Genomic DNA, 26,998 nt, shown 5'->3' with positions numbered 1-26,998 from the left:
GGTCTCGATCTCCTGACTTCGTGATCTGCCCGCCTCGGCCTCCCAAAGTGCTGGGATTACAGGCGTGAGCCACCGTGCCTGGCCGGTGGTGTCCCTCTTTTTGTGTCCATTTGTTCTCATCATTTAGCTCCCACTTTTTTTTTTTTTTTTTTGGACATGGAGTTTCACTCTTGTCGCCCAGGCTGGAGTGCAACGGCAAGATCTCGGCTCACTGCAACCTCTGCCTCCTGGGTTCAAGCAATTCTGCCTCAGCCTCCCGAGTAGCTGGGACTACAGGCGCCCACCACCAGGCCGGGCTAATTTTTGTATTTTCAGTAGAGATGAAGTTTCACTATGTTGGCCAGGCTAGTCTCCAACTCCTGACTTCAGGTGATCTGCCTACCTTGGCCTCCCAAAGTGCCGGGATTACAGGCGTGAACCACCGTGCCTGGCCAGCTCCCACGTATAAGTGAGAACATGTGATATTTGGTTTTCTGTTCCTGTGTTTGTTTGCTAAGGATAATGGCCTCTAGCTCCATCTATGTTCCCACAACAGACATGCTCTCGTTCTTTCTTATGGCTGCATAGTCTATTTCATGGTGTATACGTACCACATTTTCTTTATCCAATCTGTCATTGATGGGCATTTAGGTTGTTTCCATGTCTTTTCTATTGTGAATAGTGCTGCAATGAACATACACATGCATGGGTCTTTATGGTAGAATGATTTATATTCCTTTGGGTGTATACCCAATAATGAGATTGCTGGGTTGAATGGTATTTCTATTTTTAGCTCTTTCAGGAATCACCATACTGTTTTCCACAACGGTTAAACACTCCCACCAAAAGGGTATAAGCATCCCCTTTTTTCCACAGCCTTGCCAGCATGTTATTTTTTGACTTTTTTGTTGTTGTTGTTGTTTATTTATTTTTTTATTGATCATTATTGGGTGTTTCTAGCAGAGGGGGATTTGGCAGGGTCACAGGACAATAGTGGAGGGAAGGTCAGCAGACAAACAAGTGAACAAAGGTCTCTGGTTTTCCTAGGCAGAGGACCCTGCGGCCTTCTGCAGTGTTTGTGTCCCTGGGTACTTGAGATTAGGGAGTGGTGATGACTCTTAACGAGCATGCTGCCTTCAAGCATCTGTTTAACAAAGCACATCTTGCACCGCCCTTAATCCATTTAACCCTGAGTGGACACAGCACATGTTTCAGAGAGCACAGGGTTGGGGGTAAGTTCACAGATCAACAGGATCCCAAGGCAGAAGAATTTTTCTTAGTACAGAACAAAATGAAAAGTCTCCCATGTCTACCTCTTTCTACACAGACATGGCAACCATCCGATTTCTCAATCTTTTCCCCACCTTTCCCCCCTTTCTATTCCACAAAACCGCCATTGTCATCATGGCCCGTTCTCAATGAGCTGTTGGGTACACCTCCCAGACGGGGTGGTGGCCGGGCAGAGGGGCTCCTCACTTCCCAGTAGGGGCGGCCGGGCAGAGGCGCCCCTCACCTCCCGGATGGTGCGGCTGGCCGGGCGGGGGGCTGACCCCCCCACCTCCCTCCCGGACGGGGAGGCTGACCGGGCAGAGGGGCTCCTCACTTCCCAGTAGGGGCGGCCGGGCAGAGGCGCCCCTCACCTCCCGGACGGGGTGGCTGGCCGGGCGGGGGGCTAACGCCCCCACCTCCCTCCAGGTCGGGGGGGCCGGCCAGGCAGAGGGGCTCCTCACTTCCCAGTAGGGGCGGCCGGGCAGAGGCGCCCCTCACCTCCCAGAGGGGGCGGCTGGCCGGGCGTGGGGCTGATCCCCCCACCTCCCTCCCGGACGGGGCGGCTGGCCGGGAGGGGGGCTGACCCCCCCACCTCCCTCCTGGACGGGGTGGCTGCCGGGCGGAGACGCTCCTCACTTCCCAGACGGGGTGGCTGCCGGGCGGAGGGGCTCCTCACTTCTCAGACGGGGCGGCTGCTGGGCGGAGGGGCTCCTCACTTCTCAGACAGGGCGGTTGCCAGGCAGAGGGTCTCCTCACTTCTCAGACGGGGCGGCCGGGCAGAGACGCTCCTCACTTCCTAGATGGGATGGCGGCCGGGAAGAGGCGCTCCTCACTTCCTAGATGGGATGGCGGCCGGGCAGAGACGCTCCTCACTTTCCAGACTGGGCAGCCAGGCAGAGGGGCTCCTCACATCCCAGATGATGGGCGGCCAGGCAGAGACGCTCCTCACTTCCCAGACGGGGTGGCGGCCGGGCAGAGGCTGCAATCTCGGCACTTTGGGAGGCCAAGGCAGGCTGCTGGGAGGTGGATGTTGTAGCGAGCCGAGATCACGCCACTGCACTCCAGCCTGGGCACCATTGAGCACTGAGTGAAGGAGACTCCGTCTGCAATCCCGGCACCTCGGGAGGCCGAGGCTGGCGGATCACTCGCGGTTAGGAGCTGGAGACCAGCCCGGCCAACACAGCGAAACCCCGTCTCCACCCAAAAAATACGAAAACCAGTCAGGCGTGGTGGCGCGCGCCTGCAATCGCAGGGACTCGGCAGGCTGAGGCAGGAGAATCAGGCAGGGAGGTTGCAGTGAGCCGAGATGGCAGCAGTACAGTCCAGCTCCGGCTCGGCATCAGAGGGAGACCGTGGAAAGAGCGGAGAGGGGAGAGGGAGAGGGAGAGGGAGAGCGATTTTTAAATAATGTAAATGCTTTACTTACTTAAAATTAACAAACAACTCACAATGCCCTTAAATAATTTCCTCAGTACCAAAGTTGAAAATGTCCAGATCCTCAAAAGCTGGAAGTGGTGTGGGTCTGCCTCATGCTCTCAGAAGTTCTGAAATTGACTCATACTGTAAATAGTCTTGTGGTGGTGAGGAGGGAGATACTGAGCTTCATGGCTTTTACTTTTCTTTGTGCTGGAAGAAGTAAGGTTATCTGCTGAGAGTAAGGAAGAGGAGTGCAAAATGTGAGAAGAGAATTAAACAGGGGAGGCCAGGCATGGTGGCTCACATCTGTCATCCCAGCACTTTGGGAGGCCGAGGCAGGTGGATCACCTGAGGTCAGGAGTTTGAGACCAGCCTGGCCAACATGGTGAAACCCCACCTCTACTAACAAAAATACAAAAATTAGCTGGCATGTTGGCAGGCACCTGTAATCCCAGCTACTCAGGAGGCTGAGGCAGGAGAATTGCTTGAACCCAGAGGTGGAGGTTGCAGTGGGCCAAGATTGCGCCATTGTGCTCCACCCTGGCAACAAAAGCAAAACTGCATCTAAAAAAAAAAAAAAAAAAAAAAAACAAGAATTAAATGGGATTTCTGAGATGTGTCTAAGGATCAACTGAAGTTGGAAACCATAAATTTGCAAGGGTGCCAGGAGGTCTGAGATTTCCTTCAGGAATGCTCAGCAGCCTGGGAGCAGGAGTTTGGGGAGTAAGTCAGGGTGTGAGAATTGAAATGCTCCACATAGGAAAAATGATGTAAAAGAAACCCAGCTGGCACTTGAGAAGTTGACAGGTCTCATTAGGTTTGCCATGTAAACCAAAAATAAAATTCTAAGTTCCCTCAAGCATCTGAATGGACCCCTCCTCTGAACCAAAGGTATTCCAAAGTTAACCTGAAAAACTAGTGCAGGCCATGACAGGGAGAGTCAGACATGCCTCATTATACCCTCCTCCCTTTTGGAATTACTGATAGAACAGATTCTTCAGATCTGATAAGAAACATTTACGGCCGGGCACGGTGGCTCACACCTGTAATCCCAGCACTTTGGGAGGCTGAGGCGGGCAGATCACGAGGTCAGGAGATTGAGACCATCATGGCTAACACGGTGAAACCCCATGTCTACTAAAGAATACAAAAAATTAGCCAGGCGTGGTGGCAGGCGCCCATAGTCCCAGCTACTCGGGAGGCTAAGATAGGAGAATGGCGTGAACCTGGGAGGTGGAGCTTGCAGTGAGCTGAGATCGCGCCACTGCACTCCAGCCTGAGCAACAGAGCGAGACTCCGTCTCAAAAAAAAAAAAGAAATATTTACAATCTATTCTCTCTAAAGCCCTCCACCTGGAGGCTTTATCTGCAAAATAAAACTTTTATTTCTTCATAACCCCTTATCACAACCCAGACATTCTTTTTTATTGATAACTCTTTCAACCAATTGCCAATCAGAAAACCTTTGAATCTGCCTAATGGTTTGGAAGCCCTGGCTTCCAGCTGTCCCGCCTTTCTGGCCCAAACTAATGTATATCTTACATGTATTAATTGATGTCTCATGTCTCCCTAAAATGTATAAAACCAAGCTGTACCCCAACCACACTGGGGTCATGTTCGCAGGACCTCCTGAGGCCTGTATCATGGGCTATTGGTCACTCATATTTGGCTCAGAATAAATCTCTTCAAATATTTCACACAGTTTGACTCTTTTCATTGATAGCCATAATTCCAGAGTCTGACACTTCAGAGGTTCAGTGACTTGGTTTTATCCTTTTCCTTTAGAAGTAATCAGGTTTTGAGGAAGTGACACATTAATCAAGTTCACAAGGGACTGGTTGATTAAACAGAATACCAATTAATTATTATTATTTTTTGAGGTGGAGTGTCACTGTGTCACCCAAGTTGGAGTACAGTGGCATGATCTCGGCTCACTGCAATGTCCACCTCCCAGGTTCAAGCAATTCTCCTGCCTCAGCCTCCCGAGTAGCTGGGATTACAGGTGAATGCCACTGTGCCCAGCTAATTTTTGTACTTTTAGTAGAGACAGAGTTTTCCCATGTTGACCAGGCTGGTCTCGAACTCCTGATCTCAAGTTATCTGCCCACCCTGGCCTCCCAAAGTGCTGGGATTACAGGCATGAGCCACCATGCTCAGCCAGGAGTGGATAATTTTTTTTTTTTTTTTTTTGAGACGGAGTTTTGCTCTTGTTGCTCAGGCTGGAGTGCAATGGCGCGATCTCAGCTTACTGCAACCTCCACCTCGTGGGTTCAAGTGATTCTCCTGCCTCAGCCTCCCAAGTAGCTGGGATTACAGGCATGTGCCACCATGCCCAGCTAAGGAATGGATAATCTTAATGGCCAGAGCCTTCAATCTGTGATAATTAATATTCTACTCAAGGGACACACCTCTCAGGTTGCCCACAGCAATACCAGTACACAGACAACTTATTTTTTTTAGAATTAGGCCATTAAGGAAAACATAAAATTGATGATAGTTTTCTGACATTTTACCTCATCCTTAGAATATGTTCATGTCTTCTCCTCCTACCTCCACTTTAATTGCCACCCTCTTAAGCTACCAGCACTAACACCCTGGCGTATATCCTTCTATACTTCCTTCTCCCCATGCACATATAAACATATACAAATATAAATGTACATATAGTCACTGATAGGGTGGGTTTTTTTGTTTGTTTTGAGACAGAGTCTCACTCTGTCACTCAGGCTGGAGTGCAGTGGCGTGATCTCGGCTCACTGCAACCTCTGTCTCCTGGGTTCAGCAATTCTCTTGCCTCAGCATCCCTAGCAGCTGGGATTACAGGCATGCGCCACGATGCCCAGCTAATTTTTTTGTATTTTTAGTGGAGACTGGGTTTCACCATGTTGGCCAGGCTGGTCCCGAACTCCTGACCTCAAATGATCCACCTGCCTCAGCCTCCTAAAGTGCTGGGATTACAGGCATGAGCCACTGTGGCTAGCCTACTGATACGGTTTTATTTGTTTACCCAAATGGACTATAGCAGACAGATTATTTTGTGATCCTCACTTACCAATATCATGGTCTCTGGTAGTCTAGTGGCTAGGATTCTGTGCTTTCACCAATACATCATGGATAGTCCTCCTCTAATTCTAATAACTAAATAATAGAGTATTCTAATAAATGAAAATATAACTAGTTCATTTACTCTAATCATTATACAATTTCCCACACTTTAAACATACTATAATTCAAGCATTTTCTTTTTTTTTTTTTTTCTTTTTTTCTTTCTTGAGACAAGGTCCTTGTCTGTTACCTAGGCTGGAGTAGAGTGGCATGATCATAGTTCACTGCAGCCTCAACCTCTTGGGCTCAAGCAATCCTCTCACCTCAGCTTCCCAAGTAGTTGGGACTATAGGCACACACCAGCATGCCCTGCAATTTTTAAATTTTTTGTAGAGATGGGGTCTCCCTATGTTGGTCTTGACAACTGATCTGCCTGACCTGGCCTCCGAAAGTGCTGGGATTACAGGTATGAGCCATTGCCCAGCCTAATTCAAGCTTTTTAAAAAATTGATAAGCCTTGGAGCTGTTTCCAGTTTTTGCCACTACAAACAAAGATGCAATAAACATCCTTGCCCTTACAACCTTATGTACCATGGTCTCTTGCAGCAAAAGTTAAGATTTGCAGGTGAAACTACTCTAATAGTCTTACTTTTGATAAATATTATCAAATTACTTTTCCAAAAAGATGTAAAAATTCATACTCATGTCATTGAAATATGAATGCCTGTTTTCCTACTTTCCTACTGTGTGTTTCTGTTCATTTGGATTTTTGCCATTTTGATAGACAGAAAAAAGTATTTCATGTTTAATGTGCATTTATATGATTAGTGAGTTTGAGTATAGTGGCAGTTGAAGTGGAGGTAGGAGGAGAAGACATGAACATATTCTAAGGATAAGCTAAAATGTTAGAAAACTATCATCAATTTTATGTTTTCCTAAAGTGGCCTAATTCTAGAAAAATACATTGTCTGTATACTGGTATTGCTGTGGGTGCCCTGAGAGGTGTGTCATTTGAGTAGAGTATTAATTATCACAATTTGAAGGCTCTGGCCATTAAGATTATCAATTCGTCTTTATTCTGAGCGCACTAAACAGTCAGCTGATAGTAATTTCATTTCTTTTTTATGCTTATTGTCCATCTGAATTTTCTGCCTAAGAGGCAGCGTAAAATATTGGTAAGTATATAAACTCTGGAGCTAGTTTTGCCTTTTTTTTTTTTTTTTTTGAGACAGAATCTCGCTCTTGTCACCCAGGCTGGAGTGCAGTGGCGCAATCTCGGCTCAGCTGCAACCTCTGCCTCCCAGGTTCAAGCCATTCTCCTGCCTCAGCCTCCCGAGTAGCTGGGATTACAGGCGCCCGGCACCACGCCCAGCTATTTTTTTGTATTTTTAGTAGAGACGGGGTTTCACCATGTTGGCCAGGATTGTCTCAAACTTCTGACCTCAGATGATCCGCCCATCTCGGCCTCCCAAAGTGTTGGGATTACAGGCGTGCACCCGCGCCCAGCCTAGTTTTGCCATTTCTGAATGATAAAACCTTTGGGCCAGGTGCGGTGGCTCACCCCTGTAATCCCAGCACTTTGGGGGGGCCTAGGTGGGCGGATCACAAGGTCAGGAATTCGAGACCAGCCCGGCCAACATGGTGAAACCCCGTCTCTACTAAAAACACAAAAATTAGCCGGGCGTGGTGGCAGGCGCCAGTAGTCCCAGCTACTTGGGAGGCTGAGGCAGGAGAATAGCTTGAACCCTGGAGGCAGAGGTTGCAGTGAGCCGAGATTGTGCCACTGCACTCCAGCCTGGGTGACAGAGTGAGACTCTGTCTCAAAAAAAAAAAAAAAAAAAAACTTGACTCAGTGCCACCCACTCATCCAAGGTGGGAGTGGGTGAGTAAAACTAACCACATTGAGATTCTAATTGTATTAAGTTATTAATTTTAGATAGTGACTTTTTCTGATATTAAGTCCTCCCATCCAGGAACATAGACTCTTTTCTCTTTAGGTTTTGTCTTACATCTTTGAATACAATTTCATAGTTTTAGTCCTATGTTCCCTTTGCTCCTTATAGTTCCTATCCCTTCCTTCCTAGATATTTTGTACTTCTGGTCACTTGCAAACAGGGTATTTTCTTCCATTTCCATTCTAACTAGATATTGCATAGACAAAGGAAAGCTATTACATTCTTTATTTCTGTCTTGCCACTACATTCTCTTGTTAATTCTAGTAGCTTATTATTTCTGGATTTGTATTCTAGAAATGCAATCACAATTCCTGAAAAATAAGGATAATTTTTTTTCCTGATATTTACACCAAGAAGGTCTTCTTTGGCTATACAACTGTGCTATGATGCTGTGCTGCTGTCCCTCCTAGCCGCTTCCCCACTGCAGGCATTTGTTCTGGCTGCCCACTGCTGCCCTGAGTGGTCGCCAAGGAATCAGACAGAAGCATTCTATGAGAATATTCCATGATTGCTTTGTTCAGGTGTCACCGATGACAACATAATACAGTAGTTCCTGGTCTCTTAGCTTGCATAGACTTCAATTCAGAGTCATTGATATGTATTTATTGAGCTTACATTTCTAATCATACCAGTCAAATTCCCATTTGGTCTGTTGCATTAGGAGACATGCCCAGCATTAATATCTAATGAGCTTGTCTGTCACTATCTGTCACATTATTCAGTTTTATTTGCCTCATAGCACCAATTATATTGGCAGGTGTATTATTTACTGAATTGTCTCCCTAAGACAGACTATATACTAGGCTATAAACCTGACTTATCTACCCTTTCATTTCTAGTACTTAGAATGAAAACATCTAGTAGGTCTTCAACAAATATTTGTTGAATTAATAAATGAATGTTGTTTTCTGGAAAATAATATACATTGTATTTAAGTAATGCCTTTTTTTTTTTTTTTTTTTTTGAGATGGAGTTTTGCTCTTGTTGCCCAGGCTGGAGTGCAATGGCACGATCTCGGCTCACCACAATCTCCGCCTCCCAGGTTCAAGCAATTCTCCTGCCTCAGCCTCCCGAGTAGCTGGGATTACAGGCATGCGCCATCACGCTCGGCTAATTTTGTATTTTTAGTACAGACGGGGTTTCTCCATGTTGGTCAGGCTGGTCTCAAACTCCCAACCTGAGGTGATCCGCCCGCCTCGGCCTCCCAGAGTACTGGGATTACAGGCGCAAGCCACCGCACCCGGCCAAGTAATTTCTTTTTATTCCAGTGTTTCTTAGTGTTATTAAGAATGGTTGCTGTTGGCCGGGCACGGTGGCTCACTTCTGTACTCCCAGCACTTTGGGAGGCTGAGGCGAGCGGATCAGCTGAGGTTAGGAGTTCGAGACCAGCCCGGCCAATAAGGCAAAACCCCGTTTCTACTGAAAATACACAAAAATTAGCTGGGTGTCATGGCGCACGCCTGTAATCCCAGCTACTCGGGAGGCTGAGGCAGGAGAATCGCTTGAATCCGAAAGGTGGAGATTGCAGTAAGACAAGATGCGCCACTGCACTCCAGCCTGAACGACACAGCGAGACTCCGTCTCAAAAAAAAAAAAAAAAAAAAAAAAAAAAAAAAAGCAAGAAAGAAAAGAAATTTGCAGTTCAAGGGACAGATCAGTCCAAGCACGGTGGTTCATACCTGTCATCTCAGCACATATGGGAGGCCACGGCGGGAGGATCACTTTGATGCTGGGAGTTGGAGACCAGCCTGGGAATCACAGTGAGATCCCGTCTCCACAAATAATTACTAATAATTTAAAATCTAAAGAAAAGGGGGGCGGGGAAGATCAGGTTATTTAAAGTAATTATAGTGTTAAACTTGACATATTAAAAAATGCAGAAATAGTTGTGAGGGATAACTCTCTGGGCAGAGATAGAAATGTATCGTATCTCAACATTTAAAATCTGCATTTCCCATTGGACCATAAGAGATGAACTAGGACCTAATTAATTGGGTTTTCTCCCCGTTTCTTTCTTTCTTTTTTTTGAGACAAAGTCTCACTCTATTACCCAGGCTGGAGTGCAATGGCAGATCTCAGCTCACTGCAACCTCTGCCTCCCGGGTTCAAGCGATTCTCCTGCCTCAGCCTCCAGAGTAGCTGGGATTACAGGCGCGCACCACCACGCCCAGCTAATTTTGCATTTTTAAGTAGAGATGGGGTTTCACCATGTGGGCAAGGCTAGTATCGAACTCCTGACCTCGTGATCCGCCCGCCTCGGCCTCCCAAAGTGCTGGGATTACAGGCATAAGCCACCGTGCCCGGCCTTCCTCCCCGTTTCTTAAAAAGGCTCATGTGAGTTGCATTTCCAGTCCTGTAGAGGTACGTTTAATACTTTTCAAAAAAAAAAAAAACTTATCAGGACTTCGTGAGAAACGAAAGTGGACACCCAAAGCAGCTTGCAGCCGGTCTACTGTTACTTTGTTTTAGCGGACCGACCTGTCTCCAAAATCGATTTGACCATAATGCTAGGATTTAACTAGGGCTTTAGTTTTTATTTCACTCCCCCACTTTACTGGTTTCAACCTATCAATCCAGACGCGTGTCTGGTGCAACGCTCGGGTTTATGGCAAAATCATCTCAGGCATTTGCTTAACCTTCTCCAGAAAGGCATTTTCAGGGGTTCACAGTGAGACGGTGCACAGGTTGGCACAGAGTTAGTAGGGGCAGTTTTGTTTCGATTTGCGGGCAAATCTCTAAGATCTCTCCGTTTAACTTTCGCCCGCAATTCCCAAAGCCGCTAAAGCCGTTTCCGGCGCTCTACCCCGCCGCAGGCCGAGGCTGGCGCAGAGAGACAGGAAGCGCCAGCTCTGGGCGTCTGGGTCCTCGCCTCCTCGGCCGCAGCCCCGCGGCGGCGCGCTCGCGGTGCATTGTGGGCGCTGTAGTCCGGCCGGAACCTGTTTGCGACCCCGAGTCCCATGACACCGCTTCTCCTCACACCCCAGTCCGCAGTGCCCCTCCCCAGCCTCGGCCGGGCCTCCCGGGAGCCGGGCGTGGCGTTCCAGCTAGTGAGCCGTTTCTCCCCTGGGCTCGGAGGCGGAAGCTTGAGGGGCGCGGGGAGGAGCTTCGCGTGCGGGGTGAACGCCCGCTCTACGTGCTCGTTCTCTTCGCGACCGCTGCGCGCGAGCCCCGTGTCCCCACGGCGGGCAGCAGCGGCGGCGGCGGCGGCTGAACGCGGAGGGGGCGGAGGGAGCCCGCGGCGGCGGCAGCAGCTACAGCGAAATGGCGGAGACCGTGGCTGACACCCGGCGGCTGATCACCAAGCCGCAGAACCTGAATGACGCCTACGGACCCCCCAGCAACTTCCTCGAGATCGATGTGAGCAACCCGCAAACGGTGGGGGTCGGCCGGGGCCGCTTCACCACTTACGAAATCAGGGTCAAGGTGAGGCCGTCTCTCCCCTCTCCCAAGAAACCCCTCCCGCTGGCTCTGGTCACCCCCACTCGACCCGGGAGTGGACCCCCGCGGGCAGCCACAGCCTCCCAGGCCGGGAGCCCCCTTGCAGAGGCGGGCCGGGGTCGTGAGCCAGGGCCCCTCTTCCTGTAGGGCTGGTGTGGGGGGCTGCAGAGCGAGCCCGGCGCGCTGGCACTTGGAGAAGGTGCTCGAAGAGGAGGGCGTGGGTTGAGCGCCGCTTGCCCCTCCAGCAGCTGATCAGGGAATGACATTTGAGTTGGAAAGGGGTAGATCTTTCGAGAACACATCCCTTCGCTGGGAAGGGAAAGAGATGTTGACAGAGAAAAGGGGCTTGCGCAAAGTTAAAGCCTTTTCCCAGTTTTCTCTTCCTGGAGACTTCCCAGAGGTAGCAAGCCAACCCGGCTGCTCCAGGCCCTTCCCGAGCTGCTAAAGTAACCTGGGTTGTGCAGTCTTCTGAACGGGACTTAATGAAAGTTCACAGAAGCCTGACAATTTTTGATAGGGCTGAGCCAGACCAGAAGGGTGATTGGACATGGTTGACTTCAGCATTTTGGGCCACCGCCCTGCCAAAGGCTGAGGTGTGGTGTCACCTACCTCATAATCCAGAACTACAGTTGCTTTAAGAAAAGACTAGGGATCTTGCTCTCTTAATTCGAGATTTGCACTTAATTGAATAAAGAAATCAACAGAAATAAAATATACCTAATTTCATAACTAGTATTTGTTGGCAATAATTTAGATGATTTGAAAGATGTTAATTGAAAATAGTGCTTCACTTTCACTCTATAATTCAGGATTAAAGAATTTGCCCATGTATGGAAGCATCTTTAAAAATTAATTACATTAATTTAAAGATGACAGCAAATTATTAAAAGTTAAGTGTAAAGCGATTTTTCCTTTAATCAAAATTTATATGACAAGCTACTATTAACATTTAAGTGAAAAAATTCTCATTAACTTACACACTTTGTGTCGTGAAAAACACAAAAATCAAATTTACCATCCTAACCATTTTTAAGTGTACATACAGCTCAGTAGTATATTCACATTGTTGTGAAACTTAAGTATTTTTAAAAAATGATTCTTACGTAGTTAGCATTGATTTTAAAAAGTTAATCAAACTTTAAGATATGAAACGAATAGTTTAATGTTTCAAGCCACTGTTGTCTTCTTATGGATGTGTAAAATGTGGATCATAGGCCGGGCGCGGTGGCTCATGCCTGTAATCCCAGCACTTTGGGAGGCCGAGCTGGGCGGATCACCGAGGTCAGGAGTTCGACACCAGCCTGACCAGCATGGAGAAACCCCATCTCTACTAGAAATACAAAATTAGCCGGGTGTGGTGGCGCATGCCTGTAATCCCAGCTACTCGGGAGGCTGAGGCCGGAGAATCTCTTGAACTGGGGAGGCAGAGGTTGCCGTGAGCCTAGATCGGGCCATTGCACTCCAGCCTGGGCAACAAGAGCAAAATCCCTTCTCTAAATAAATAAATAAAAATTGAATCATAGGATATGTTGTCATAGGGAAACTGCAAAATCCAGACTTCAGTACACCTGGGGAACTACATTCATACATAAACCTAGTGGAAAAGTGAATGTTTTTCTAATTGTCTGTAATACATGACAGATGGTTCACTAAAAAGAACTTCCTCTTTTGCCCTATTCACTAGTATTTTCTTTTTTTTTCTTTCTTGTGCTAAAACAGAACTTGGTATTCTTGTTTCTATACTTCCATAGCAGGTACTTCCTGTCACAAAACTGAATTGGAATCTCCTGCCTACACTTCCTCCACTTACTTTGAGTTTATCTTGCTGAATGCATTATATTAAATGGGTTCTAGTATAATAATTTAATCCTCTTTTTTTTTTAATACACCTAATACCTTAGCAAATAGCTGATGTGACACTTAAAAATGGTTTCTGGGCCTGGCGCAGTGGCTCATGCCTCTAGTCCCAGCACTTTGGGAGGCTGAGGCAGGTGGATCCCTTGAGCTCAGAAGTTTGAGACCAGCCTGGGCAACACGTTGAAACCCCTTCCCCACAAAAAAAGAAATTAGTTGGGCGTGGTGGCGCGCATCCCTGAGGTCCCAGCTACTCCAGAGGCTGAGGTGGGAGGATCACTTGAGCCCAGGAGGTCGAGGCTGCAGAGAGCTATGATGAGGCCACTCTACTCAAGCCGGCATAACAGAATGAGACCCTATCTCAGGAGAGAGAGAAAAAAGGGTTTTGGTATAGTCATTTACATGTTAAAGAAAATTTTTTTTTTTTTTTTTTGAGACGGAGTCTCGCTCTGTTGCCCAGGCTGCAGTGCAGCGGCGCTATTTTGGCTCACAGCAACCTCCGCCTCCCAGGTTCAAGTGATTCTCCTGCCTCAGCCTCCTGAGTAGCTGGGATTACAGGCATGCGCCACCACGCCTGGCTAATTTTTGTATTTTTAGTAGAGATGGGATTTCACTGTGTTGGTCAGGCTGGTCTTGAACTCCTGACCTCGTGATCCACCTGCCTTGGCCTCCCAAAGTGCTGGGATTACAGGCATGAGCCACCGCGCCTGGCCTGAAAATAATCTTTTTTAAGAACGATTAATGAGTCAGGGAACTAACAAATTATACACTTACTTTGGTTTGTATTTTTGTATAAACCAACTCACTGGGTGTTAATAGCTGTTAACAGTCATAAATGCCAGTGCCTATGTGAAAACCTAATTGAGTTTTTAATGCATGAAATGACTTTGGATTTCTTTCTTTTTTTATTTTTATTTTTATTCTTTTTGAGACAGAGCCTTGCTCTGTCGCCAGGCTGGAGTGCAGTGGCGCGATCTTGGCTCACTGCAACCTCTGCCTTCCGAGTTCAAGCGATTCTCCTGCCTCAGCCGCCCAAGTAGCTGGGACTACAGGCACGCGCCACCACGCCCAGCTAATTTTTGTATTTTTAGTGGAGACGGGGTTTCACCATGTTGACCAGGATGGTCTCAGTCCCTTGACCTCATGATCTGCCTACCTTGGCCTCCCAAAGTGCTGAGATTACAGGCGTGAGCCACCATGCCCAGCCTGGATTTCTTTTAGTATGTAATGTGTTAACTTAAAACTAAGGACACCATATAGTAAGGAAATTAGGCCTTATTTGAGCAGCATATGATTTTTTAGAGTAATTATAGTCTTGCATTAAGGCAGAGTGGCTATGACATGAATAGTTTAATATTTTGTAATTTTTTTCTTCTTGAGATAAGAGTCTCGTTCTGTAGCCCAGGCTGGAACACAGTGGCATGATTGTGGCTCACTGCATTCTCAAACTCGAGGACTCAAGTATTCCCCCCGCCTCAGCCTCCCAAGTAGCTGGACTACAGGGTACTACTATACCTGGCTAATTTTTTATTTTTTGTCAGATGAGACTTGCTATGTTGCCCATGATGGTCTTGAACTCCTGGCCTCAAGTGGCCCTCCCCCTCTCAGTCTCCCAAAGTGTTGGAATTACAGGCATGAGCCACCTCACCCAGCCCTGCAATTTTATTTATTATTTTCTAAATGTTGCTGCTCTCCCGAACCCCTACTGACTACCTTTTGCTGTTGAATTTGCTATGTGGAAAACCATTTTATGTTCCAGAATTTGGGCTTTTAAACTATCTTACAGTTACTGTCTCATTCTGGTCTTGAGAAAAATTTACAGTTTTACAGGATCTGATTGAAATTACTCTAATTCACAGGGCAATTTTATATGGATGGTGGCACTTAGAATGCAAGTTTCCCAATCTCCATTTATCTTTTGGTTTGAGGATAGTGTTTAAGACTATTAGGATCACTTGATTAGTATCTCTGGGCTTTTGAAAATAATTACACAGTGTTATGTTTTTAAAAATTGTTCTAATGGGTAGGTACAGCAGAGAGCACCATAAATGATTAAAGGTTTAGGAAAGTTCAAGGTCTGGAATTATTTAGGCATATTCAAGAGAAGGCTGAAAGCAAAATTCAGTCACTGTTTATGAAGTTTGTGCTGTAATATAACTTTAATATTCTGGAGATTTTTAAGTTAATCAAGATCTATTTTACCTGGAGACCACTGTTTTGAACAGGAATGGAATTAGAATCTTTCTTGAGCTCTGACATAGTCCTCAGTTCAAAGAATAGATTTAACATTTCCTAGCTGGGTAAGATACAAAATCAAAGCTCCACTTCCCCTCTGTGAAATAGGTGTGCTAATAATAGTACCTACCTCTTAGGACTAAATGGGATAAGGCACATGAATCTTTCTAGCACAGTGCCTGGCACATAATAAGCACGCAAAATTTAGCTCTTTCTAAAGATAGACATTTTCTAAATTAAACGTCAGTGATCAACTACATTTTCTGTGTGTTAATGTTTAGTTGAGTTACTAAAATTGTTAGATTTTCTTGTCAAGAAACCTACTTGTCATGGAAGTATACCTTCATTAAGCAAGCATGGTATAAAAATAAGCTATCTTATTTGGTACTTAACCAAGTAACCTTTGTGTATGTATTTATTTTTTCGAGACAGGGTCTCCCTCTGTCTCTCAGCCTAGAGTGCAGTGGTGCAGTCACAGCTCACTGAAGCCTTGACCTCCCAGGCTCAAGTGATCCTCCCAACCTCAGCCTCTCTACTAGCTGGGACCACAGGCGCATACCACCACACCCAGCTAATTTTTAAATTATTTGTAGAGACGAGATCTCACTATGTTGCCCAGGCTGCTCTTGAACTCCTGGGCTCAAGTGATACTCCCACCTCAGCCTCCAAAACTGCTAGGATTATAGGTGTGAGCCACCATGCCAGGCTCCAAATAATCTTTTAAAGTTGAGCTTTATTAAAGCATAAAGCTGAATAATAACGTTGGCTGATAAAAATTTTGACAAGGTGCTAAATAAATGTAGCATCTTATCTTGACAGTGCTTGCCGTTCTAAACTTGTATATGTTTTTTCCTCTGGGTCAGTCATCTAATCTTAAATTAGGAGTCATTAATATCCAGATTGGAAGCTGAGAAATAAATTTTAAAATCTTAGACTTATTTTTGGGAATTATAAACATGTATTATTGAAGGGCTAAAATATTAATAGTATTTTAAAGAATCGGGGGGTCGGGCACGGTGGCTCCTGTATGTAATCCCAGCACTTGGGAGGCCAAGGTGGGAGGACTACTTGAGCTCAGGCGTTGCCACACAGCCTGGGCAACGCAGTGAGACCCTGTCCCTACAAAAATTTAAAAATTAGCCAGGCATGGTGGCGTGTGCCTGTAGTCCCAGCTATGTGGGAGGCTGAAGTGGGAGGATTTCTTGAGCCCAGGAGGAGGTCAACACTGCAGTGAGCCACGATCATACCACCGCACTCTAACCTGGGTGACACAGTGAGACCCTGCCTCTAAAAAAAGCAAAGCAAAGAAAAAAAAATCAGGGCATTTTGATGCCAGAGGACATCTGCAGAATCTATGTAGCTCTATCAATTGGCCAATGAGATGTTGTCTGTTACACATGTTGCTGCCAGCTACGGCTGACTTTTCCAGGATCTCCATCAAGGAGAAGCATGCTATTAGCAGTGAAGATTCTGTCCTTATCTAATCCATCCCCAGAATGGAGAGTGGGGGAGGAAGACAGTGGCTATTTTAAAGTAGTCCTGTTATATTGAGTTTTTAGGGATTCTGTTCTGTTAAGGGATGTATCATTTGAGTATCTTTTATGTGCAAAGCACTGTGCTCTATCTATAAAATTTAATCTTGAGGTAACCAAGCAGAGTAGATAATATTCCTGTAGAAGCTGATCAACTGATCCTCATCTCTTGTCCTTTCCTCATTTTAACTCCAGTCCTGAACTGGTATCTCCCAATTAAGCTGAGTTCTTTTGTATCCAGGCCTTTTGCACACACTTCCTCCTCTGTTAAGAACAGGCTTCCTTTAAGAGCCTCATCTGGTTACTATCACTTATCCTGCAGGACTCAGCCTTAATGTCCCCTTTTTAAAGATTTTGCTGATCCCTTGACTCTGGACCAGATTTCCTTCCTGTGTGCCCTGGTAGCTTTGTTAGGAATAAATTTGTTTGCTTGTCTTTGGCTTCCTGTAAGTTCCTGTGTCACCCATTATAAGCTCTTAGAGGACAGGGACTGTCATAATCACCCTTACTCAATATCCAACACTGCTTGGCACATAGTGGACACTTACAAATAAATGAAGTTTAAGAAAGTTAACTTCCCCAGGGTCACAGCTATTAAATGGTAAAACTGGGATTTGAACCTAGATTTTCGGACCTTCAGAGCCCGTACTTTTGTTTGAGACAGGGTCTCACTCTGTTGCCCAAGCTAGAGTGCACGGTGGTGCAATCTGGGCTCATTGTAGCCTCGACCTCCTGGGCTCAGGCAACCCTCCCAACCTTCGCCTCCTGAGTAATTGGGGCTACAGGAGCACGCCACTATGCCTGGCTAATTTTTTTGTATTTGTAGAGACAGGGTTTCTCCATGTTGCCCAGGCTTGTCTCAGACAAGGTTTTACCATGGTTGCCCAGAGCCCTCACAGAAAATTCATATCACCTGAGGAGCCTTTGAAACCATTCAGGTTCTCTTTTACTGGGGTGGGGTGGGGTTTGGGCAGTGGCGGTTTTTTTTTTTTTCTTTGAGACGGAATCTCACTCTGTCACCCAGGCTGGAGTGAGGTGGTGCAATCTCAGCTCACTGCAAGTTCCACCTCCTGGGTTCATGCCATTCTCCTCCCTCAGCCTCCCGAGTAGCTGGGACTACAGGTGCCTGCCACCACGCCTGGCTAATTTTTTTTGTGTTTTCAGTAGAGATGGTGTTTCACCTTGTTAGCCAGGATGGTCTCCATCTCCTGACCTCGTGATCCACCCACCTCGGCCTCCCAAAGTGCTGGAATTACAGGCGTGAGCCACCAAGCCCGGCCGGCAGTGGTGGTTTAAAAAGCATCCCAGTAAGGGCACTTATATGCAGCAAGGATTTCTCCTGCTGCTTATCATGCTATCTGTCTCACTGAGATAGATAGACAGTAGAGAAGGAAGAGAAATATACATAGAACCACAATGGTTGGTAGCTTTGATGGGATTAAAAAAATAGATTCTAAAATAGTAAAACATAAAATGAATAGCAGATCTTGGCAACAGAGAGGAAAACCAGTGACATTTGTCAAAGATAGAAAACTTTTTGGAGGGGAGGCATTTAAATATTAACTGAAAGCATACCAATCTCTACAGCTTAAGTTTTTGGGAGGAAGGGGAGACACAGACTACATTCAATCAAGCCAGATCTTTTTGCCCTTGTCTTGCATCATCCATGTCTATATCCCTGTATAATAATCATGAAAGTAAGCCAGAAGTAAAAAAAAAAAAAAAAAAAAGACATATGTATTCATTTAAGAAAGGAATTTTTTGGAGACAGGTTCTCGCTGTGTTGTCCAGGCTGGTCTTGAACTCCTGGGCTCAAGTGAGCCTCCTACCTCAGCCAAGTAGTTGGGATTACTGTTGCATGCCATCAAGCATGCCTCAAAAAAGGAATCTTTATAAATATTGTCACTTTATACCTGTAAAGGGGAAAATCTAAAAAAGTGCTTTGAGCTATCCTGGTGATCACATGCAATAGACATTTTCCTCTCCTGCTCACCTTTATCATCATGCTTATCTCACCCCTTCCAGAAAGTAGTAGACTGTTATTATTAGATACTTTGATGTTTGTACCATGTTATGCTGCTTTCATGTAAATAGAGCCAGCAATTTCTTGAACATCAGATAAGAAAGATGGTGTCCAAAAAAATCTTGGAACTGCTATTTTCTTTTTTCCAGAAGTTTATTCTTAGGGCCGGGTGTGGTGGCTCATGCCTGTAATCCCAGCGCTTTGGGAGGCTGAGGCGGGTGGATCCCTCGAGATCAGGAGTTCGAGACCAGCCTGACCAACATGGCAAAACCCCATATCTACTAAAATACAAAAATTAGCCAGTGTGGTGGTGCATGCCTATAATCCCAGCTACTCAGGGGGCTGAGGCACAAAGATTGCGTGAACCTTGGAGGCAGAGGTTGCGGTGGGTGGCAGCGCGACTCTGTGCCAAAAAAAAAGAGAAAAAGAGAAAAAAAGTTTATTCTTAAATGTGCAACAGGCTCCAAGACATTTCATCCTTTGCTTCCTAGAGTGGAAGCAGAAGATTTTATAGTAGGAAATGCAGATATTTAAATAGGAATGGGATCAAGGGTCATCATTGCCTCGGACACAGTGGTTTGTTTTTTGGTTTTTGTTCTTGTTTTCCAGATTTCTCCCTTCTAAGTACTAACCAGGCCCAACCCCGCTTAGCTTCTGAGATCAGACGAGCAATTGCATTCAGGATAGAATGGCCATAGACTTTTGCCGGATTTCTTAATTCCACCTATCCAGGGAACCCTTCCCTGTGGCCTTTGCTTTTAGCTCCTCAAGTTTTTTCTGCTCCTCTTCTTGTTTCTGCTTGAAATCCTTGTCTTCCTCATACATCTCCTTGGCCTGTTTCTCGTCAGGGGCTTCTTGCCGTAGGTGCCTGTCAGGAAGCTGGACGTGGTGCCTGCCATCCCTTCCTTAGACCCAGCACAGGAAACTGGAACTGCAGTTTACTGTTTTGATTCCTTAGTTAAAAGACAAAGCTTTCAACCAAAGTTCTACTTCATTTTTTTGTTTGTTTGTTTGTTTTATTTATTTATTTATTTTTGAGACAGTCTCTCACCCTGTTGCCCAGGCTGGAGTGCAATAGTGCAGTCTCAGCTTACTGCAGCCTCTGCCTCCCTGGTTCAAGCAATTCTCATGCTTCAGCCTCCCAAGTAGCTGGGAATATATAGGTCGTGCACCACCATGCCTGGCTAATTTTTGTATTTTTAGTAAAGATGGGGTTTCATCGTGTTGCCCAGGCTGGTCTCGAACTCCTGGCCTCAAGTGATATGCCCACTTCAGCCTCCCAAAATACAGGCATGAGCCACCGCGCCTGGCCACTACTTCTTTAAAGAAATATTTAACTGACAACCTAGGAATTTGGAATGTGTTAGTAAAATGTGACGTTTGCTATAGCTTGCCAGAAAGGTTGTATCAGGTAGTATAGAGTTTGGGCTGTTCTCAGATAAAGAGGATAATTTTTTGTTTTTTTGGTTTTTTTCTCCACATGGAGAGGTTTCAGGTACAGTCCAGGGTTAGTATTGTGGCTTGACTATCAGCTTCTAACATCATATTCACATTCTAGCCAAGGGGAATGTTTATTTCTGCCCTTGAAGGACACAACCAGGAAGTCGTATTATTTCTGTTTCTGCGCATTGCTGTACTTAGCTACAAAAGAAGCTGGGAAATTTAACCAGGTGGCCATGTGAAGAAGGGAAGAGTAGACACTGTTCTTTGCTTTGCCACATTAACAAATGGTTGTGGTTGGCCCTTCTAGGATATGGCTTTAAGCTACACTGTGATCATCTGTTATTTCCTTTTTTTGCTAATGCCTGGAATTTCAGTTTAGAGTAAGTTCATTTGATTTGCAAGAAATAAAATTGTACTTTCATTAGTTTGGAAGTCTTAAGTGAGTAAGTTTTGATTCTTTCATGATAATTAATTTTGTTAAGTTGAGAAAAAAGGCAAGCATGAAGACATGGCATATCTGATAGGGGTATACCTTGAGATTGGGCTAGAGATTCTAAAGGTAGTTGATTAACCTTTTTTTTTTTCCTTCCAAGGCTGCTTAAAACTATTTTGGTTTTACTTAGGACCACCATTGTAGTTGCTGACATTGAATGATGGAGTATATAATTTGAGCCACCAAAATAAATGAAGCCAGTGTCTCTTGGCAGAGAATCACTTAATCTCTTAGCAGAGAAGTAGAGAATTACTTAAAATAATTTTGTAAAGTTACTTTGTGTCCAGCAGTATTGGAATGGTCATTTGATAATTATTTGTTCTGTAAACTTTGATTTTATCACTGATGGAGCATTTCTTTTGGCTTTCCTAAAGTTATTTTAGCACCTGCCACCTATAGCTTGTTTGCTTTCCGTTTTTTCTAGTCCTGCCCTTGTGGGATGAAGTTCTCTGTTGTATAAGTCTCGTCCATATTGAGAAACAGAGGAGTCTCAAAGCCCCTCCTTGTGTCTGGTCTTGGTATCTCACCCCTCTCTTGTCTTGACTTTACTGGTTATCTTCAAGTGGAAACAAGTAGAGAAAAATCTTGTCAGCTAGGCATGTATGTGTATATCACCAGGTCTTGTCTTAAATTTACACCCAAAGATTCCCCCATGGTATATAACTGAGGACATTCTTAGGACACTGAGGAGTTTAAATAGAGCAAGGGTTGGCAAATTATGGGCTTACCTTTTTTTATAAATAAAGTTTTATTGGAACACAGCATACCCATTTCTTCCCATATTATCTAAGACCACTTTTACTCTATAAGGGCAGAACTGAGTAGTTGAAACAGTATGTTTACTATCTTGCCCTTTAAGAAAAGGTTTGCCAATTTTATGTCTAGAGTTTGCTCATGTAACATTGAAATAATGGAAATCAAAAGGCACTTGGAGAATCTATTATCAAAACATGAGGCCGGGCATGGTGGCTCACTCCTGTAATTCCAGCACTTTGGGAGTCTGAGGTGGGTGGATCACTTGAGGTCAGGAGTTCAAGACCAGCCTGACCAACATGGCAAAACCCTGTCTCTACTAGAAATACAAAAATTAGCCAGCTGTGGTGGCGTGCCCCTCTAGTCCCAGCTACTCAGGAACCTGAGGTGGGAGCATCACTTGAACCCTGGGGGCGGAGGTTACAGTGAGCCAAGATCACACCACTGCACTCCAGCCTGTGTGACAGAATGGAACCCTGTCTCAAACCCTAAAAAATATCATGAGGCTATGGAAAAAGCATTCATTTAGGAAGCCAGTAGTAAACGACTGAGGAAATAGTCATTAAATATAACACTGCACATTCATCAAATAATAAGATCTTAATGCATAACCCTATTGTTGGGTGGTGAATGAAATATTAGATACCATTCTTTCCTCCTAGAGGCCCAGTTTTACATAGAAATTGTAACTTTGTGTTGTCATCCCACTGATAATATTAAGGCCAGGCACAAGGTTTTTCAACTTTTGAAGTTTATTTTCTCACTCGAAACCTTTTATGTAAACTCCTTTGAATACCCACATAAAGGAAAGAAAGTTGGTGCTGATAAACTAGTGGGCAGCAGGTTCATGGTGGTTCAGGGTCGGTCAGCAAACCAGTGCCAACACTGAAGATGATGCCAAACAAAATTGACTGCAATCTGTTCTAGCCAGGATCATGGTTTAGATATTTTCTAGCCAGAATTAATTAATTTATTATTTTTTTCTTTTTTTGAGACAGAGTCTCGCTCTGTTGCCAGGCTGGAGTGCAGTGGTGCGATCTCGGCTCACTGCAACCTCCACTTCCCAGGTTCAAGCAATTCTCCTGCTTCAGCCTACCAAGTAGCTGGGATTACAGGCACGTGCCACCATGCCCAGCTAATTTTTGTATAATTAATTAATTTCTCATACAGTATCATCATTTAATGATTTGTGGGGTTTTGTGTGTGTATGTGTTTTAAGAGACAGAATCTCACTACATTGCCCAGGTTGGTCTTGAGCTCGTGAGCTCAAGTGATCCTCTTATCTGCCTCAGTCTTCTGAGTAGCTGGTACTACAGATGTGAGCCATTACACCTGTCTTAATGTTTTGTATTCTTACATGTTAACCCCCTATGTAATATGGCAATGTGCAGTTGTATAAATAATTTTTAATAATATTTAAGTTGGTATTGGTTGAACTATTAACATAGGTAAGTCCTTTCTACAAACTCTGTCTCTCTTGTCTAAAAGCTGGGTGTGGTGATGCATACCTGTAGTCCCAGCTACTCAGGAGGTTGAGGTGGGAGAATCATTTGAGCCAAGGAGGTTAAGGCTGCAGTGAGCTATAATGGTACCACTGCACTCCAGCCTGGGTGACAGAGTGAGACCCCGTCTCAAAAAAAAAAGAAAGGAAGGAATTAAGTTGAAAATTGAGAAACTGTGATACCAGCTCTAAATGGGACAACATAGTGAATTGATAGAATTTTTGTCTTAGTTTAGAAGGCCAGATTATGTTGATATGCTTAAGTTGGGATAAATTGCAGTTTTAGAGCGTTTTTGTTTAGACCTCAGCATGATTCTTATCTATAATTGATATTTGTTCAGTTTTCTTCCCTCAAAACATCCGATCAATTGTTTTTTTCTAACTAAATTTCTTTTTTAGAGTTGTTAACTTTAACTTGAGTAGCTCCTGTGGGTCAGTTGATTTATTGAGTACTTGCAATGCTAAGTTTAATAACACATGTTACTGCATTCAGTAAGTTCACAGCAGCCTGAAACAGGGCTAGATTTCTCTGATAAGTTTTCCCCAGAACTGTCCAATAAATGAACATTTATGAACTGTCTGTTATATTCCAGACATTGCTAGATGCTTGTTTAAAAGATGAATAAGATATGCCTAGCCTTTGGAAGCTTCCAAACTGGTGGTAAGGAGAGTGGGGAGAGGTAAATTCATAAAATATGCATAATCTGTAGTGGGAACCCAGGTCTGCCCTGAGGGGCCAGGAGTGTGTGTGGGCAGAAAGTGAGCCAGTAGTCTAGCTAGGGGGAGCACCTGTCTCTTTTGTGCTTCACTGCCAGCATCTGACATCAATGACATGCCAGAATCACACAGTAATAATACTGGAGTGATTCCTTGTTACTCTCTGACACAAACATTTTTCTCGATTTTTATTTATAATTTTATATATAATGTATAATTTGGTTTTAAAATTGTTATTTTAATTTTTATTTTTTAATAAATAGTGACAGGGTCTTGCTGTGTTGCCCAGGCTGGTTTTGAACTCCTGAGCTCAAGCAATCCTCCTGCCTCTGCCTCCCAAAGTGCTGGGATTACAGGCATGAGCCACCACACCCGGCTATAATTTGTTTTAAGCATCGATGTTCAGGCGGTATGGTAGGCACTTTCACTCTGTGTTTTCTCTGATATAGTTTATTCTACTGCATTTTCTTACAAACTGTAATTACTCTTATTTCCAGTTAAAACAAATGATAGGCTGGGCGTGGTGGCTCATGCCTATAATTTTAGCCCTTTGGGAGGCAGAGGTGGGAAGATCACTTGAGCCCAGGTGTTCAAGACCAGCCTGGGAAACATAGGGAGACTTAAACGTTGTTTTTTTTTGTTTGTTTTTTGTTTTTTAATTATCTGGGCATGGTGGCATGGACTAGTAGTCCCAGCTACTTAGGAGGCTGAGGTAGAAGGATCACTTGAGCCCAAGTGGTTGAGGCTACATTAAGCCGTGGTCGTGCCACTGCACTCCAGCCTAGGTAACAGAGTGAGACCCGGTCACACTCAAAAAATACATCCTAGATATTGACCACTTCATCATTCTTACTTAGCAATAATCGTTTCCTGTTTCCTCCTGTCTTACTCCATTTTCACACTGCTATAAATTTACTACCCGAGACTGGGTAATTTGTAAAGGAAAGAAGTTTAATTGACTCACAGTATTGCATAGCTGGGGAGGCCTCAGGAAACTTACAAGCATGGAAGGCAAAGAAGCAAGTACCTGCTTCACAAGGTGCCAGGAAAGAGAAAGTGAGCAGAAAGAGCCCCTTATAAACTGTCAGCTTTCGTGAGAACTCACTCATTATCACGAGAAGAGCATAGGGGAACTGCCCCCATGATACGGTCACCTGGGGGTTTACACGTGGGGATTACAATTCAAGATGAGATTTGGATAGGGACATACAGCCAAACCATATCACATCCTGACCATGCTTTATGATATAGCTAAGAAAGTCTACCTGCTCTTTTCCCATGCTAAACTCTGATGATCTTTCCTGATTCCTCTTGCCAGAAGCTAATCCAGTGTGGACTTGAGCCTGTAGTCTTAGCTACTTGGGAGGCAGAAGTGGGAGGATCGTTTGAGGCCAGGAATTAGAATCTGCACTGAGTTATGATCTTGCCCCTGCACTCCAGCCTGGACAACACAGCAAACTCTATCTCTGATGAGAATGCTGAGAACACATTCTATTCTATACTGAATTTATGTTCCCAGGCAAAAGAATAAAAAAAATACAATTTTAAGAAAAAAAAAGGGAGGCAGGAGATACAGTGTCTCACGCCTATAATCCCAGCACTTTGGGAGGTGGAGGCGGGTGGATCACCAGAGATCAGGAGTTTGAGACCAGCCTGTCCAACATGGTGAAACCCCATGTCTACTAAAAATACAAAAAAAAAAAAAATTAGGCATGGTGGTGTGTGCCTGTAATCCCAGCTAGTCGGGAGGCTGAGGCAGGAGAATCACTTGAACCTGGGAGGCAGAGGTTGCAGTGAGCTGAGATTGCACCACTGTAGTCTAGCCAGGGCAACAGAGCATGACCCTATCTCAAAAAAAAAAAAAAAAAAAAAAAAAAAAAGAATGCTCAAAGCTCTTTTAAGAATTTCTTACTTAGAGGCCTCAGAAATAACACCACACGTCTACAACCATCTGATCCTCGACAAACCTAGCAAAAAACAAGCAGTAGGGAAAGGATTCCCTATTTAATAAATGGTGCTGGGAAAACTGGCTAGCCATATGTAGAAAGCTGAAACTGGACCCCTTCCTTAACACCTTATGCAAAAATTAACTCAGATGGATTAAAGACTTAAACGTAAAACCTAAAACCATAAAAACCCTAGAAGAAAACCTAGGTAATACCATTCAGGACATAGGCATGGGCAAGGACTTCATGTCTAAAACATCAAAAGCAATTGCAACAAAAGCCAAAATTGACAAATGGGATCTAATTAAAGAGCTTCAGCACAGCAAAAGAAACCATCATCAGAGTGAACAGGCAACCTACAGAATGGGAGAAAATTTTTGGAATCTATCCATCTGACAAAGGTCTAATATCCAGAATCTACAAGGAACTTAAATTTATAAGAAAAAAACAATCCCTTCAAAAAGTGGGCAAAGGATATGAACAGACACTTCTCAAAAGAAGACATTTATGCGGCCAACAAACAATTTTAAAAAAGCTCATCATCATTGGTCATTAGATGCAAATCAAAACTACAATGAGATACCATCTCACGCCAGTTAGAATGGCAGTCGTTAAAAAGTCAGGAAACAACAGATGCTGGCGAGAATGTGGAGAAATAGGAACGCTTTTACACTGTTGGTGGGAGTGTAAATTAGTTCAACCATTGGGGAAGACAGTGTGGCATTTCCTCAAGGATCTAAAACCAGAAATACCATTTGACCCAGCAATCCCATTACTGGATATATACCCAAAGGATTATAAATCATTCTACTATAAAGACATGCACACGTATGTTTATTGCAGCACTATTTACGATAGCGAAGACTTGGAACCAACCCAAATGCCTATCAATGATAGACTGGATAAAGAAAATGCACGTATATACCGTGGAATACTATGCAGCCATAAAAAAGAACGAGTTCATGTCCTTTGCGGGGACATGGATGAAACTGGAAACTATCATCCTCAGCAAACTAACACAGGAACAGAAAACCAAACACTGCATGTTTTCACTTATTAGTGGGAGTTGAACAATGAGATCACATGGACACAGGGAGGGGAACATCACACACCAGGGCCTGCTGGGGATTGGGGGGCAAGGGGAGGGAGAGCATTAGGACAAATACCTAATGCATGTGGGGCTTAAAACTTAGATGACGGGTTGATAGGTGCAGCAAACCACCATGGCACATGTATACCTATGTAACAAACCTGCACGTTTTTTTGCACGTGTATCCCAGAACTAAAAAGAAAATTTCTTATTTTCTTGGCCGGGCACAGTGGCTCATGCCTGTAACCCCAGCAGTTTAGGAGGCCGAGGCAGGTGGATTACTTGAGGTCAGGAGTTCGAGACCAGACTG

The 26,998-nt window shown here is 44.6% G+C and overlaps 1 protein-coding gene and 1 pseudogene across 4 annotated transcripts in view, besides 3 other annotated features; one reads left to right on the top strand and one right to left on the bottom strand.

The window, feature by feature from the left end:
* Window positions 9,786-10,621: an enhancer, noted in NCBI's record as "H3K27ac hESC enhancer chr6:108582429-108583264 (GRCh37/hg19 assembly coordinates)". NCBI's record gives its function as "activates a minimal SCP1, AML or CMV promoter by ChIP-STARR-seq in naive H9 embryonic stem cells {active_cell/tissue: H9 hESC(naive)}" and the evidence as "EXISTENCE:reporter gene assay evidence [ECO:0000049][PMID:30033119]".
* Window positions 10,749-11,008: a silencer, noted in NCBI's record as "silent region_17449". NCBI's record gives its function as "represses an Ori minimal core promoter by ATAC-STARR-seq in GM12878 lymphoblastoid cells {active_cell/tissue: GM12878}" and the evidence as "EXISTENCE:reporter gene assay evidence [ECO:0000049][PMID:35858748]".
* The window catches only part of SNX3 (sorting nexin 3), a 49,819-nt gene continuing 33,626 nt past the window's right edge, over window positions 10,806-26,998 (top strand). For 3 of the 4 annotated variants that reach the window (NM_152827.4, NM_001300928.2, NM_003795.6), the window contains exon 1: window positions 10,806-11,086. In NM_152827.4, coding sequence (NP_690040.1) covers window positions 10,925-11,086 — 162 coding nt within the window. In that variant the 5' untranslated portion in view covers window positions 10,806-10,924. The remainder of the gene's footprint in view (window positions 11,087-26,998) is intronic. The other variant, NM_001300929.2, reaches the window with a different exon arrangement.
* Window positions 11,119-11,228: a silencer, noted in NCBI's record as "silent region_17448". NCBI's record gives its function as "represses an Ori minimal core promoter by ATAC-STARR-seq in GM12878 lymphoblastoid cells {active_cell/tissue: GM12878}" and the evidence as "EXISTENCE:reporter gene assay evidence [ECO:0000049][PMID:35858748]".
* Window positions 19,339-19,445, bottom strand: RNA5SP212 (RNA, 5S ribosomal pseudogene 212; annotated as a pseudogene).

Source organism: Homo sapiens, chromosome 6 (genome assembly GCF_000001405.40).
Source record: "Homo sapiens chromosome 6, GRCh38.p14 Primary Assembly".
Taxonomy (NCBI): domain Eukaryota; kingdom Metazoa; phylum Chordata; class Mammalia; order Primates; family Hominidae; genus Homo; species Homo sapiens.
Note: the sequence above shows the minus strand (reverse complement) of the source record. Positions and strands in the feature narration are given on the sequence as shown.